The sequence below is a fragment of the Homo sapiens genome, chromosome 11, assembly GCF_000001405.40.
Source record: "Homo sapiens chromosome 11, GRCh38.p14 Primary Assembly".
Classification (NCBI taxonomy): Eukaryota; Metazoa; Chordata; class Mammalia; order Primates; family Hominidae; genus Homo; species Homo sapiens.
In genome coordinates, this window is record NC_000011.10 from 72,156,516 (window position 1) to 72,170,626 (window position 14,111).

Below are 14,111 nucleotides of genomic sequence, written 5' to 3' on the forward strand. Positions count from 1 at the left end.
AGCAAACCTTCAGTCTGTGTCTCTCAATCCCACTGGACATGAGGTCTGCCTATAACAATTATTTGGCTACAACCCCTTTAATATCCTGAACTTAGCTAAACAGTTATTTTAAAAATCCATATTCAAATATAACTAAAGAAGAAACAGAGGAAAAGTAATTTGTAATATGGATTTCTATTTATATTCGTTTTGACTCCATTAGCAGATAGCAGTCACTGCCCTGTTTGCACTTGTTTTGAATCAGTGAGCCTGTAGCTGCCAAGTGCAGACTAACAAGAGGTAAATAACCTGTATACCTTGAGCAGCTCTGACTTTAACTTATTCTTTTATTTTTTATATTTTTATTTTTTTTTATTTTTATCTCTTTTTAGACATGAGGTCTCACTATGTTGTCCCAGTTGACCTCAAACTCCTGCACTCAAGTGATCCTCCCACCTTGGCCTCCAAAGTACTGGGATTATAGGTGTAAACCACTGTGCCTGGGCTTTTATATATTTTTTAAGTGCACATTTTAATGTTTAGCTTGTCAGCCTTAAGTAACGAGATCCAGAAAGCTTGAGGATAGCTACACAGAAGCATAGATTCAAGTTGTCCTGAATATACACTTCGATTCACAGCAGTTACAAGTGAGTTTTTAAGGAAACAGAATAGTTCCTAAGTTGTTTATCAAGAATTTAAAATAAAATAACATAAGCAATTCATTGGCTATACATTGTTTTTTGTATCACAAATTCCAGGAACAGATAACGGGTGAGGCAGCTAGTCAGGGACAAAACGCCTTGGAACAATTGTCTCTGGGCATGGGTGGGGAGGGTGTGACTGAAGTTCCATACTCATGCCTTTCTGGGCCTGATAAATTGGGCATGTCTCACATCATGAGACTGCTCTGAGCTATTTTTCTTTTCTCAAGCTTTATACCAAATTCTAGGCCGTGGGCTTTCATTCATTCAATAAGTATGTATTGAGTGTTTATGTAATCGGAACTCTTCTGGGGTTACAATTTAACTTACTTTCTCACCTCCGAATGGTTATCACCTCAACGAGGACTAAATCCAATGATTTTTTTTTATCTTGCCAAAATTCCTATCTAAGGGGTCTGGGGAGTCATGCCCTACAAATCATAAATTCTCATCAGATGGGTTTTATTTAACCCTATATATCATGACTTACTTTCCAACCTGACTCTGGCATAACATGACGAGACAAGGAAGAAAAGCAAAATATTTTAATATTTTTACCTCAAAACATGTTTCTTTGCCATATCTTGAAATGGCCCTGCTACTGTCCTTTGTGGGGGAAAATTTTCATCTGTAAAGAATCTCTATTAACATAGCTGGATCTTTTTCTACCAGGCCCTTCCAATCATAAAGAGATTAACTAAGTGTAGCACCTTTTATAGATCTGAATAGGAAACACTTGTCATCTGTTGTTTCTAAGGGCAGCCACTATAAGACTTCAAAAGAACCTTGGTCTCCACAGTCTTTTATCTTAACATTTCTTTTCTATCAACCCCAGGTCTTTAGACAAACTCAACCAATTGTCAACCATAAAATGTTTAAATTTACGTATAGCCTGAAAGCCCTGCCACCCCACTTTGAATTGTCCCACCTTCCTGGACCAAACCAATGATTTTTTTTTTTTTTTTTAGATGGAGTCTCCCTCTGCCGCCCGTGCTGGAGTGCAGTGGTGTGATCTCGGCTCGCTGCAACCTCCGCCTCCTGGGTTGAAGCAATTCTCCTACCTCAGCCTCCTGAGTAGCTAGGATTACAGGTGCCTGTCACCACGTCCAGCTAATTTTTTGTATTTTTAGTAGAGACAGGGTTTCACTATGTTGGCCAGGCTGGTCTCAAACTCCTGACCTCAAGATCAGCCTGCCTTGGCCTCCCAAAGTGCTGGGATTACAGGCGTGAGCCACCGTGCCTGGCCAATGTATTCCTTAAATGCATTTGATTGATGTCTCATGCTTCCCTAAAATGTATGAGACATCCTTCTCCCCTGATTGTTTTCAAAAGCAGTGATCCATTGAGGTGCTCATTTTTGTAACCCCAGTTACTAGAAAAGTGCCTGGGTAAGAGTATGTAGGATCTCTATAAAAGCTGAATTAACGAATTTTGTAATGACTGCACCTCCAGACAGGAGCTGTCTTCCGGGCTTCCACAGTCTCTGACAGCCCTCTCCCACAAAGAGTTTACCAACAGCAAGGACTTTCCTGGATGACTTCCACTGGGTTGGGGATTAAGGATTGAAAGGGGAGAGGCTGGGTGTGGAATATTCTGGCTGTGCTGGCTGTGGACTTAGTCCTGTGTCTTCCCGCATCCAGTGTAGTCTCTGGAGAAAGAATGCCTGAGCTTTACCAGCACCACCCAGGAAGCCCATAAGAATATTCCCATCTATATGGATTCAACTGGAACCACTGTGGAGAGATGGTACCTGCCTGCAAACGGCACTTTATCCAGGACACCTGCCTTTACGAGTGACCCCCCAACTTGGGGCCCTGGATCCAGCAGGTACGCATGGCTTCCTGGCATCCAAGAGCTAGCAGAGGAGCTGAATTTTCCAGGCGTCTCTGCAGGCAGCAACCCCAGCTCCAGTTCTATTCAGGGCTGGGTTCCTGGGATTCTTGAGCCTGAGCCCTTCTTTTCTACCAAAATCTCCCAGGTGGATCAGAGCTGGCGCAAAGAGTGGGTGCTGAATGTGCCCCTGTGCAAAGAGGACTGTGAGCAATGGTGGGAAGATTGTCGCACCTCCTACACCTGCAAGAGCAATGGGCACAAGGGCTGGAACTGGACCTCAGGTGAGGGCTGGGGTGGGCAGGAAAGGAGGGATTTGGAAGTGAAGGTGTGTGGGTGTGGAACAGGTGTGTGACATTTTGGGGTTGTAGGGCTGGCAGAATCAGAGACCCTTTGGGGCCCAGTGGCTAAAGGTCTTCCCTCTTCCCTACAGGGTCTAACAAGTGCCAGGTGGCAGCTGCCTGACTACCTTTCCATCTCTACTTTCTCACACCCACTGCTCTGTGCAGTGAAATCTGGACTCACTCCTACAGGGTCAGCAACTACAACCGAGGGAGCAGCCGCTGCATCCAGATGTGGTTCGACCTGGCCCAGGGCAACCCCAATGAGGAGGTGGCAAGGTTCTATGCTGCAGCTCTGAGTGGGGCTGGGCCCTGGGCAGCCTGGCCTCTCCTGCTCAACCTGGCCCTAATGCTGCTGTGGCTGCTCAGCTGACCTCCTTTTACCTTCTGATACTTGGACATCCCTGCCCTGTTTAGCCCCACAGCTCCCAACTATTTGGTTCCTCTTCTATGGTCTTGTCTCTGACAGCCACTTTGAATAAACCAGACACCACACATGTATCTTGAGAATTATTTGGGTATGAATGGGAATGTGGCTGTTTTGTTTCCCATTTCTTATTGATTGAAGCCAGTTAGACTGGGCTAGTTCCCAGCTCTGATGCTTGCTATGAACTAGCCTGATACTTAAGTATTCTTCTAAGGTAGGAGACATTTGTAGCTCTCGATTTTATTATTCACTATAGCTCCAATTTAGAGCCAAGCCCAGGCATTTTTCTTTTTTTGAGACAGGGTCTCACTCTCTCACCCAGGTTGGAATGGAGTGGCATGATCTCAGCTCACTGCAACGTCTGCCTCGTGGGCTCAAGTGATCCTCCCACCTCAGCATCCCAAATACTTGGGACTACAAGCATGTGCCACCACACCTGGCTAATTTTTCAATTTTTTGTAGAGAGGAAATCTTGCAATGTTGTCCAGGCTGGTCTCAAACTACTGGGCTCAAGCAATCCTCCTACCTCAGCCTCCTGAGTAGCTGGGTCTACAGGTGTGAGCCTCCACATTCAGCTAATACATATAATATAAAACATGTATTATATATGTAATAGTAGAGACAGGGTCTCACTATTTTACCCAGGTTGTTCTCAAACTCCTGCGCTGGAGTGATCCTCCCAAAATGCTGGGATTACAGGCATGAGTCACTGCATCTGGCCACAAGTCATGTTTATTTCTTGCTCAAGCTACAATGCTGAATGTGGGTTATCAGGGGGATTCTGTTTATTTCTCATTCCTGGACTACATTAGCAGCCAGGGGGTTCTGCTTCTCACTCAAGAACCCACGCTGATGGAGGCTCCATCTTCCATGAGACAGGAAGAGGGAACTTGGCAAATTCCATAAGGCTCTTCAAATTTCCACCCATCACTTATTTCATTGGCCAAATCAAGTCATGAGCATGCCTAAATTCAAGAAAGCCAGGAAAACATAATCCTATCATGTACTTGCAAGGAGAGGGGAATCACAAGGTTTGCAACAGACCTAATCATGAGTAAAAAGACTTCATTATTTTCTCGTAGATTTCTGTTTCTGGCATGGTCATAGTTACAAATTTAATTTTTTGGTTAGATCCTAGTAAGAAGGAGGACCAACTCTCTATACATATGCAAATAACTACATCAACCTGAAAAGTGGAGCAATCCACTGATGACCGCCCTGGCTAGTCTTGTAAACAAGGCCAATTGATGCCTTTTCGCCCTTCATTTATTTCTATTTATTATTTTTATTTTTTGAGACAGGGTCTCTTTCTGTTGCTCAGGCTGGAGTGCAGTGGCACAGTCATGGCTCACTGCAGTCTTGACCTCCTGAGCTCAATTGATCCCTCAACTTTAGCCTCCCAAGTAGCTGGGACTACAGGCACATGCCACCATGCTGGGCAAATGTTTTGTATTTTTTTTGTAGAGATGGGGTTTTGCCATGTTGCCCAAGCTGGTCTTGAACTGCTGCGCCCAAGTGATTCATTCACCCACCTTGACCTCCTAAAGTGCTGGGATTAGAGGCGTGAGACACCTCTGCCAGCCCACTGATTTCTTTTTTGAACCGAAAGCATAGTTGATCAATGCAAAAGCTAATAATTGGATATTAACAAAATTCAAAACTCTTGCACTTTAAAAGACACCCTTAAGAAAATTAAAAAACAAGCAACAGACTGGAAGGAAATATTTGCAAACACATCTGATAAAGGATCTGTATCCATAAAATACAAAGAACACTTACAACTCAGTAACAAGAAGGCAGACAACCCAATCAAATAATGGGCAAAAGAAATGAACAAATATGTCATTAAAGAAGGTACACAAATTATGAATAGTTACACGAAAAGATGCTCAACATTATTAATCATTAGAAAAATGGAAACTAAAACCATAGTGATAGACGGTTTTATACCTACTAGAATGGCAATAATAATAATGATAGGCAATAACAAGCATTGGCAAGGATGTGGAGAAATGGGAACCCTCACACAGTGCTGGTGGGGATGTAAAATGGTACAGCCCTTCGGAAAACAGTGTGGCAGTTTCTCAAAAAGTTAAATGTAAAACTGCCATACAACCCAAAATTCCACTCCCAGGTGTCTACTCAGGAGAAACGAAAACAAACATAACAAAACTTAAATATGAATATTAATAATAATCATATTTATGTATGTAAATATGATGTATCATTTATGTATGTAAATATGATATATCATATTATGTATCATTATATATAATAGCCCCAAGCTGGCAATAACCTAAATTTTTAGCAGCTGGTGAGTAGATAGACAAAATGTGGTGAATCCATACAATAGAAGACTGTGCAGCAATGAAACGTGATGACACATGCTATGTCGTGGATGAGCGTCAAAAACATTATGTTAAGTGAAAGAAGCCAGACCTAAGAGGCTTCATGTGGCATGATTTCACTTACATGAAATGTGCAGGGAAGGCAAATTTATAGAGGCAGAAAGTAGATTAGTAGTTGCCTGGGGCTGGAAGTGACAACAGGGATTAATTGTAAATGGGCATGAGGGGGGATAAGAATTGAGGGGATGATTCTGAGTTTCTGTGGGGTGTATCCATGAGGGAAAGTATTCTAAGGAAATTGGCATGTGGCTCCATAAAAATCTATCATCTGAGACAAACTCCATTCCCATCATGAACTTTAAAATATTGGTTGGAAGCCAAGCATGGTGGCTCATACCTGTAATTCCAGCACTTTGGGAGGCCAAGGCAGGTAGATCACTTGAGCCAGGGATTCTAGAACAGCTTGGGCAACATGGTGAAACCCCGTCTCTACATAAAAATACAAAAAATTTAGCCCAGTGTGGTGGTCCACGCCTGTAGTCCTAGCTATGCAGGAAGCTGAGATGGGAGGATCTCTTTAGCTCAGGAGGTAGAGGCTGCAGTGGGCTATGACTGTGCCACTGCAGTCCAGCCTGGGTTGATAGAGTGAGACCCTGTCTCAAAAAAAAAAAAAAAAAAAAATAGGAATTGCTGGATGGTAATGTTGTAGGAGTTTCTCCTCAGTTCAGCCAAAGACAGGGTCCTTGTCACCTGGCCATGAAATATTAGGCTTGCAGACACTTTGAAGGGTGAGAAAAATGGAATTTATTGGGCAAAAAAAAAAAGCGGGGAAACGGGGACCCTCGGCAGAGTGAGAGTCCTGCTAGTACACGCTTCCCACCTCTCAGGTTGAATCCCAGGTTCCACCCTGGAAGAGGAGGGGCCAGGCTCCTCAGCACGAACTTCCAGAGGCTCCACCCCAGTGCACATTCCTCCCAGTGTGCGGGTTTGTCAGAGGTTCTCTGGGGACCCCTTTACACTTGGCTGTCTCATTCCCCCCTCTCAAGAAGTACATCAAACTACTGTTAGAACAAGGATAGGGGTGAGGACGAAGACCGATCTAAACTGCTTCCTGCTAACAGGGAGCGGTGTTTTGGGAAACGGCAGTCAGAGCTCCCTCAGAAGCCTATCTAAGGGTTCCCGGCAGAAGGCGCCATCTTCCGAGGCTCCGGTTGCACGACCATTTGGAGTTTGATGGCCTGAAGGCAAGAGGAGAAAAACCAGGTTATTAGAAAACATGTGTTAAAACGAAACAAGGGAGGGTAAGGACAGCTTAAAATCCCTAGGCCTTTTACCAGTTTGCACAGGGAGAGGGAAACCAAAAGCCCGACTGGTAAAAAAAACTTTACCCTTTTGCCAGCATGTCATGCTTGTGGGTTCCCTTCCTCTGAGCCCAATCCTAAGCCAACCAGCTGAAGGTTTGGGAAATTAACTCTTTCCAGTTTGGAGGATGCATCTGAGGGGAGTGTCCTATAGTACAAAGACACAATTACCTATTAGTGAAGAGAAGACAGTGGAGAAGAAAGGAAAAAAAGGTGCTTTTTAAAGGAGTCCCAGGGGTTCAGCATGCATTCAAAAGGGGTACAGAGTGAAGATGAATGGCTACCCATCTAGAAAGAGGGGAGCAGGCATCCCTGTCTCCTATCTCTTTCTAGCAGATACCAGGGGTACATGAGGGAGAGAAGGAAGAGCGTCCTCTTTCCCTCTTCTGTCCTTGCATACCCAAGTCCTGGTGACCTTGGCAGGTGCTGCCATGGGTGCCACAGCAGCTTGCACCCATGAAGCAGGGAGTACCTAGAGAATAGGAATTATCAGCCAGACTCAGTGGCTCACGCCTGTACAACCCAGCACCTTGGGAGGCCGAGGTGGGCAGATCATGATTTCAGGAGTTTGAGACCAGCCTGGCCAACATGGTGAAACCCCGTCTCTACTAAAAATACAAAACTTAGCTGGGTGTGGTGGTGCATGCCTGTAGTCCCAGCTACTCGGGAGGCTGAGGCAGGAGAATCACTTGGTCCCAGGAGGCAAAGGTTGCAGTGAGCCAAGATCACACCACTGCACTCCAGCCTGGGCAACAGAGTAAGACTCCATCTCGGGGAAAAAAAAAGAGAGAATAGGAATTATCCGCTCTTACCTATGTTTCTATACCCCCTACAGTCAGTAGTCTTGGAGTTTCCTAGACCTCATTTATGCTGTGGGGAAAAGCAAGAGAGATCAGATTGTTACTCTGTCTGTGTAGAAAGAAGTAGACATAGGAGACTCCATTTTGTTATGTACTAAGAAAAATTCTTCTGCCTTGAGATTCTGTTAATCTATAACCTTACCCCCAACCCTGTGCTCTCTGAAACATGTGCTGTGTCAACTCAGAGTTGAATGGATTAAGGGCGGTGCAAGATGTGCTTTGTTAAACAGATGCTTGAGGGCAGCATGCTCCTTAAGAGTCATCACCACTCCCTAATCTCAAGTACCCAGGGACACAAAAACTGCGGAAGGCCGCAGGGACCTCTGCCTAGGAAAACCAGATATTGTCCAAGGTTTCTCCCCATGTGATAGTCTGAAATATGGCCTCGTGGGAAGGGAAAGACCTGACCGTCCCCCAGCCCGACACCCGTAAAGGGTCTGTGCTGAGGAGGATTAGTAAAAGAGGAAGGAATGCCTCTTGCAGTTGAGACAAGAGGAAGGCATCTGTCTCCTGCCTGTCCCTGGGCAATGGAATGTCTCGGTATAAAACCCGATTGTATGCTCCATCTACTGAGATAGGGAAAAACCGCCTTAGGGCTGGAGGTGGGACCTGCGGGCAGCAATACTGCTTTGTAAAGCATTGAGATGTTTATGTGTATGCATATCTAAAAGCACAGCACTTAATCCTTTACATTGTCTATGATGCAAAGACCTTTGTTCACGTGTTTGTCTGCTGACCCTCTCCCCACAATTGTCTTGTGACCCTGACACATCCCCCTCTTTGAGAAACACCCACAGATGATCAATAAATACTAAGGGAACTCAGAGGCTGGCGGGATCCTCCATATGCTGAACGCTGGTTCCCAGGGTCCCCTTATTTCTTTCTCTATACTTTGTCTCTGTGTCTTTTTCTTTTCCAAATCTCTCGTCCCACCTTACGAGAAACACCCACAGGTGTGTAGGGGCAACCCACCCCTACATATGCCATGGATACTAGCATGACCTTTATCCATGAAATGGGAGGCTTGGCTTGATTGGCAGGAATTAGCCATGCTCACTTGCACGCACTGTGCCTTTTTTTTTTTTTTTTTTTTTTTTTTTTTTGAGACAGAGTCTCGCTCTGTTGCCAGGCTGAAGTGCAGTGGAGTGAACTCGGCTCACTGCAACCTCCGACTCCCTGGTTCAAGTGATTCTCCTGCCTCAGCCTCCTGAGTAGCTGGGATTACAGGCACGCACCACCATGCCCAGCTAATTTTTGTATTTTTTTTTTCGAGATGGAGTCTTGCTCTGTCGCCCAGTCTGGAGTGCAGTGGCATGATCTCAGCTCACTGCAACCTCCACCTCCCAGTTCAAGCGATTCTCCTGCCTCTACCTCCCAAGTAGCTAGGATTACAGGTGCATGCCACCATGCCTGGCTAATTTTTGTATATTTAGTAGAGACGGGGTTTCACCGTGTTTGCCAGGATGGTCCCGATCTCCTGACCTCATGATCTGCCCGCCTTGGCCTCCCAAAGTGCTGGGATTACAGGTGTGAGCCACTGTGCCCGGCCTTGCACTGTGCCTTTTAACCCCTGTTATCATCTGCCTCTGAATCCCTTAGATCCAGTTTTCTTTCCTGGGGCTTTGACTCAAAGCTTGGAATAGAATTTGAAACAAAAATATGTGTCTAGGAAGGGCTGCATGGACTCCTTATCATAAGCCAAATGCTAAGGAAGGTGAAGCTGCAGAATTGAGTCCTCCTCCAACAAGGGAGAGAAAAAGATGTCTTGTGACATGCCCAGATAATTGGTGGCTATAGTTATGTAAGCTAGGATTTGGGTGCATGGTGCTTGGCTTTGGTTAGCTCTTACTTTCCAAAAAAGGAAACCTCCGATTAATGGGCATCCTATTTATTCCCATCACCTGGCAGGATTTGCAGGATAATTGCTCAGAACTAAAATATTGATCCAGATTTTTACATTACCCATCCTCTCCTTCTTTCTGAGCTGCAGCTGGAGATTGCTGGTTGGTTCACAGGAACAAGGAGTGTTAGCCTAAAAATGTAGGCAAAAACTTAAACACTAATGACTTTAGAATTTATTGACAAATGTATGGTGTTTTGAAACATAATTTCTCTCTCTCCAGTCCTCATTTTTGTTAAAAAAGCAAATTATGGTAGGATTGAGTTGTTTGCAAAATAGACTTTAGTCATATACTTGGCCTGATTATTTGCATAAAGTGCAGCAAGAATAACTATTTCTACATAAGTCTTTTAGATTGGCTTTGATGGAACTCTGTTCTTCAAGGAATTTCAGACAAAACGTTTTAAAACTGAGCCCAGCCATGGATTTGTATCCTCAAATACCTGTAAGTTGGATGATCTTCTCGTGTTAAGGTCCCATGACAAATTTGGAGCTCCTAGACCTGTTAGAAAGTGACATTCTTGGCCAGGCGTGGTGGCTCACACCTGTAATCCTAGCACCTTGGGAGGCCGAGGTGGGCGGATCACCGGAGGTCAGGAGTTCGAGACCAGCCTGGCCAACATGGTGAAACCCTGTCTCTACTTAAAATACAAAAAATTAGCTGGGTGTGGTGGCAAGTGCCTGTAGTCCCAGCTATTTGGGAAACTGAGGCAGGAGAATCACTTGAACCTGGGAGGCGGAGGTTGCAGTGAGCCGAGATCATGCCACTGCACTCCAGCTTGGCGACAGAGCAAGAGTCTGCCTCAAAAAAAAAAAAAAAAGAATACTCACGGATAATTTCCAAATTCTGGAGAAGCCAGGCAGAGAGAGAGAAAAATATGCTTCAAATTTTGTTCACAGGAGTGTAGCTTACTCTAGTATTAAAGGCCTTAAAGAGTTCAAAATAATTTTCCTTGACTCTGAGAAACAAAACAAGGATCAGCAATATTCCAAGCAAAAGTCAAAAAGGTTGCTTCAGCTTTCTGAGTTCAGTCCATTCAGTTCTTGTTATGCTTGATATTCGTGAACATTTTAGCTCTTCATGAGTCCTGTACATTTTCCTTTATTCCAATATCACAGTCTCCAAAGTTATCAGAAACCTGTATTTGAGAGCACCTGTCAGAGTCCTATAGCTTATTACAAACCAACTTTATTTTTTTTTGAGACAGGATCTTGCTCTGTTGCCCAAGCTGGAATGCAGTGGTGAGATCTTGGCTCACTGCAACCTCCACCTCCTGGATTCAAGCGATTCTCCTGCCCCAACATCCTGAGTAGCTGGGATTACAGGTATGTGCCACCATGCCCGGCTAATTTTTGTATTTTTTTTTTTTTAGTAGAGATGGGGTTTTACCATGTTGACCAGGTTGGTTTTGAACTCCTGACCTCAGGTGATACCCCTGACTTGGCCTTCCAAAGTGCTGGGATTAAAGGTGTGAGCCACTGCACCCAGCCGGATCAGGCACTTTTAACTTGAAAACATGAAGTTCTCTTTCCTAACTTTTTTCTTTCTTTCTTTTTTTTTTTTTTTTCCGAGACAGGATCTCACTCTGTCACCCAGGCTGGAGTGCAGGGATGCCATCACAGCTCACTGCAGCCCTGACCTCCTGGGCTCAAGCAATCCTCCCAGCTCATCCTCCCAAATGGCTGGGACTATAGGCTTAGACCACCATACCCAACTAATTTTTGTATTTTTGTGTGAAGATGAGGTCTCCCTATGTTTCCCAGGCTGGTCTTGATCTCCTGGGCTCAAGCAATCCATCAGCCTTGGCCTCCCAAAGCACTGGGATTATAGGCATGAGCCACCAAGGACGGCCCCCTAATGTTTTTTATATTGGCTAATGAGCTTTAAGTTTATACATACAAGGCATAAAGAAATAACTTTAAAGTTATGTTATTAGATGTACAGTGATATGATTTAGCTCTGTGTCCCCACCCAAGTCTCATCTTGTAGCTCCCATAACTCCCATGTGTTGTGAAAGGGACCTGGTGGGAGATGATTGAATCGTGGAGGTGGGTCTTTCCCGTGCTGTTCTCATGATAATGAATGGGTCTCACAAGATCTGATGGTTTTAAAAACGGGAGTTTCTCTGCACAAGCTCTCTCTTTGCCTGGTGCCATCCACATAAGATGTGACTTGCTTCTCCTTGCCTTCCACCATGATTGTAAGGTCTCCCCAGCCATGTGGAACTGTAAATCCAATAAACCTCTTTCGTAAATTGCCCAGTCTTGCATATGTCTTTATCAGCAGCGTGAAAACAGATGAATACAGTAAATTTGTACTGGGAGTGGGGCATTGCTGAAAAGATACCCAAAAATGTGGAAGCGACTTTGGAACTGGGGAACAGGCAGAGGTTGGAACAGTTTGGAGCGCTCAGATGAAGACAGGAAAATGTGGGAAAGTCTGGAGCTTCCTAGAGACTTGTTGAAGGGCCTTGACCAAAAGCCTGATAGTGATATGGACAATAAGGTCCAGGCTGAGGTGGTCTCAGATGAAGATGAGGAACTTGTTGGGAACTGGAGCAAAGGTAACTCTTGTATGTTTTAGCAAAGAGACTGGCAGCATTTTGTCCCTGCCCTAGAGATTTGCAGAACTTTGAACTCGAGAGAGATGGTTTAGGCTATCTGGTGGAAGAAATTTGTTTATTATTATTATTATTATTATTATTATTATTATTATTTTGAGATAGAGTCTCACTCTGTCACCCAGGCCAGAGGACAGTAGCGTGACCTTGGCTCACTGCAACCTTCGCCTCCTGAGTTCAAGCGTTTCTCATGTCTCGGCCTCCCAAGCAGCTGAGATAACAGGCATGTGCCTCCATGCCTGGCTAATTTTTGTATTTTAGAAGAGACAGGGATTCACCACATTGGCCAGGCTGGTCTCAAACTCCTGACCTCAAATGATCCAACTCAGCCTCCTGAAGTGTTGGAATTACAGGCATGAGCCACCACACCTGGCTGCGGAAGAAATTTCTAAGCTGCAAAGCATTCAAGAGGTGACTTGGGTGTGGTTAAAGGAATTCAGTTTTATAAGGGAAGCAGAGAATAAAGGTTCAGAAAATTTGCAGCCTGACAATGCGATAGAAAAGAAAAGCCAATTTTCTGAGGAGAAATTCAAGCCAGCTGCAGAAATGTGCATAAGTAACAAGAGGAACATTAACCCCCAATACAATGGGGAAAATGTCTCCAGGGCATGTCAGAGGTCTTCTTGGCAGCCCCTCCCATCACAGGCCCAGAGGCCTAGGAGAAATGGTTCCGTGGGCCAGGTCCAGGGTCCCCGTGCTGTATGTAGCCTAGGGACTTGGTGCCTTGTGTCCCAGCTGCTCCAGCCATGGCTGAAAGGGGCCAACATAGAGCTTAGGCCATGGCTGCAGAGGGTGAAAGCCCCAGTCCTTGGCAGCTTCCACGTGGTATTGAGCTTGCAAGTGCACAGAAGTCAAGAATTGGGGTTTGGGAACCTCCACCTAGATTTCAGAAGATGTATGGAAATGCCTGGATGCCCAGGCAGAAGTTTGCTGCAGGGGTGGGGTGCTCATGGAGAACCTCTGCTAGGGCAGGGCGGAAGGGAAATGTGGGGTTGGAGCTCCCACACAGAGTCCTTACTGGGGCACTGCCTAGGGCAGCTGTGAGAAGAGGGCCATTGTCCTCTAGCCCCAAGAATGGTAGATCCACTGACAGCTTGCACTGTTTGCCTGGAAAAGCTGCAGACACTCAATGCCAGCCTGTGAAAGCAGCCGGGAGGGAGGCTGTACACTGAAAAGCCACAGGGGCGGAGCTGCCAGAGACCATGGGAACCCACCTCTTACATTAGTGTGACCTGATATGAGAGATGGAGTCAAAGGAGATCATTTTGGAGCTTTAAGATTTGACTGCCCTGCTGGATTTTGGACTTGCAGGGGCCTGTAGCCCCTCTGTTTTGGCTAATTTCTCCCATTTTGGAGTGGCTGTATTTACCCAATACCTGTACTCCCATTGTATCCAGGAAGTAACTAACTTGCTTTTGATTTTACAGGCTGATAGGCAGAAGTGTCTTGCTTTTTCTTTGCTGAGACTTTGGACTGTGGACTTTTGAGTTAATTCTGAAATGAGTTGAGACTTTGGGGGACTGTTGGGAAGGCATGATTGGTTTTGAAATGTGAAGATATGAGATTTGGGAGGGGACAGGGATGGAATGATATGGCTTGGCTGTGTCCCCACCCAAATCTCATCTTGTAGCTCCCATAATTCACTCATGTTGTGGGAGGGACCTGGTGGGAGATGATTGAATCATGGGGGTGGGTCTTTCCCATGTTCTTGTGAGAGTGAATGGGTCTCACGAGATCTGATGG

General features: G+C 45.1%; 1 long non-coding RNA gene and 1 pseudogene across 1 annotated transcript in view, besides 1 other annotated feature; one reads left to right on the forward strand and one right to left on the reverse strand.

Moving 5' to 3' along the window:
• FOLR1P1 (folate receptor 1 pseudogene 1) lies at positions 2,318-3,141 on the forward strand (annotated as a pseudogene).
• A 3,665-nt stretch (positions 3,142-6,806) lies between these two features.
• FOLR1-AS1 (FOLR1 antisense RNA 1) overlaps positions 6,807-14,111 on the reverse strand; it is a 45,920-nt gene continuing 38,615 nt past the window's right edge. Inside the window, exon 3 of the long non-coding RNA NR_199595.1 lies at positions 6,807-6,864. This is a non-coding gene — a long non-coding RNA (FOLR1 antisense RNA 1). The remainder of the gene's footprint in view (positions 6,865-14,111) is intronic.
• Positions 8,211-9,020: an enhancer, noted in NCBI's record as "NANOG-H3K27ac-H3K4me1 hESC enhancer chr11:71875770-71876579 (GRCh37/hg19 assembly coordinates)". NCBI's record gives its function as "activates a minimal SCP1, AML or CMV promoter by ChIP-STARR-seq in primed H9 embryonic stem cells {active_cell/tissue: H9 hESC(primed)}" and the evidence as "EXISTENCE:reporter gene assay evidence [ECO:0000049][PMID:30033119]".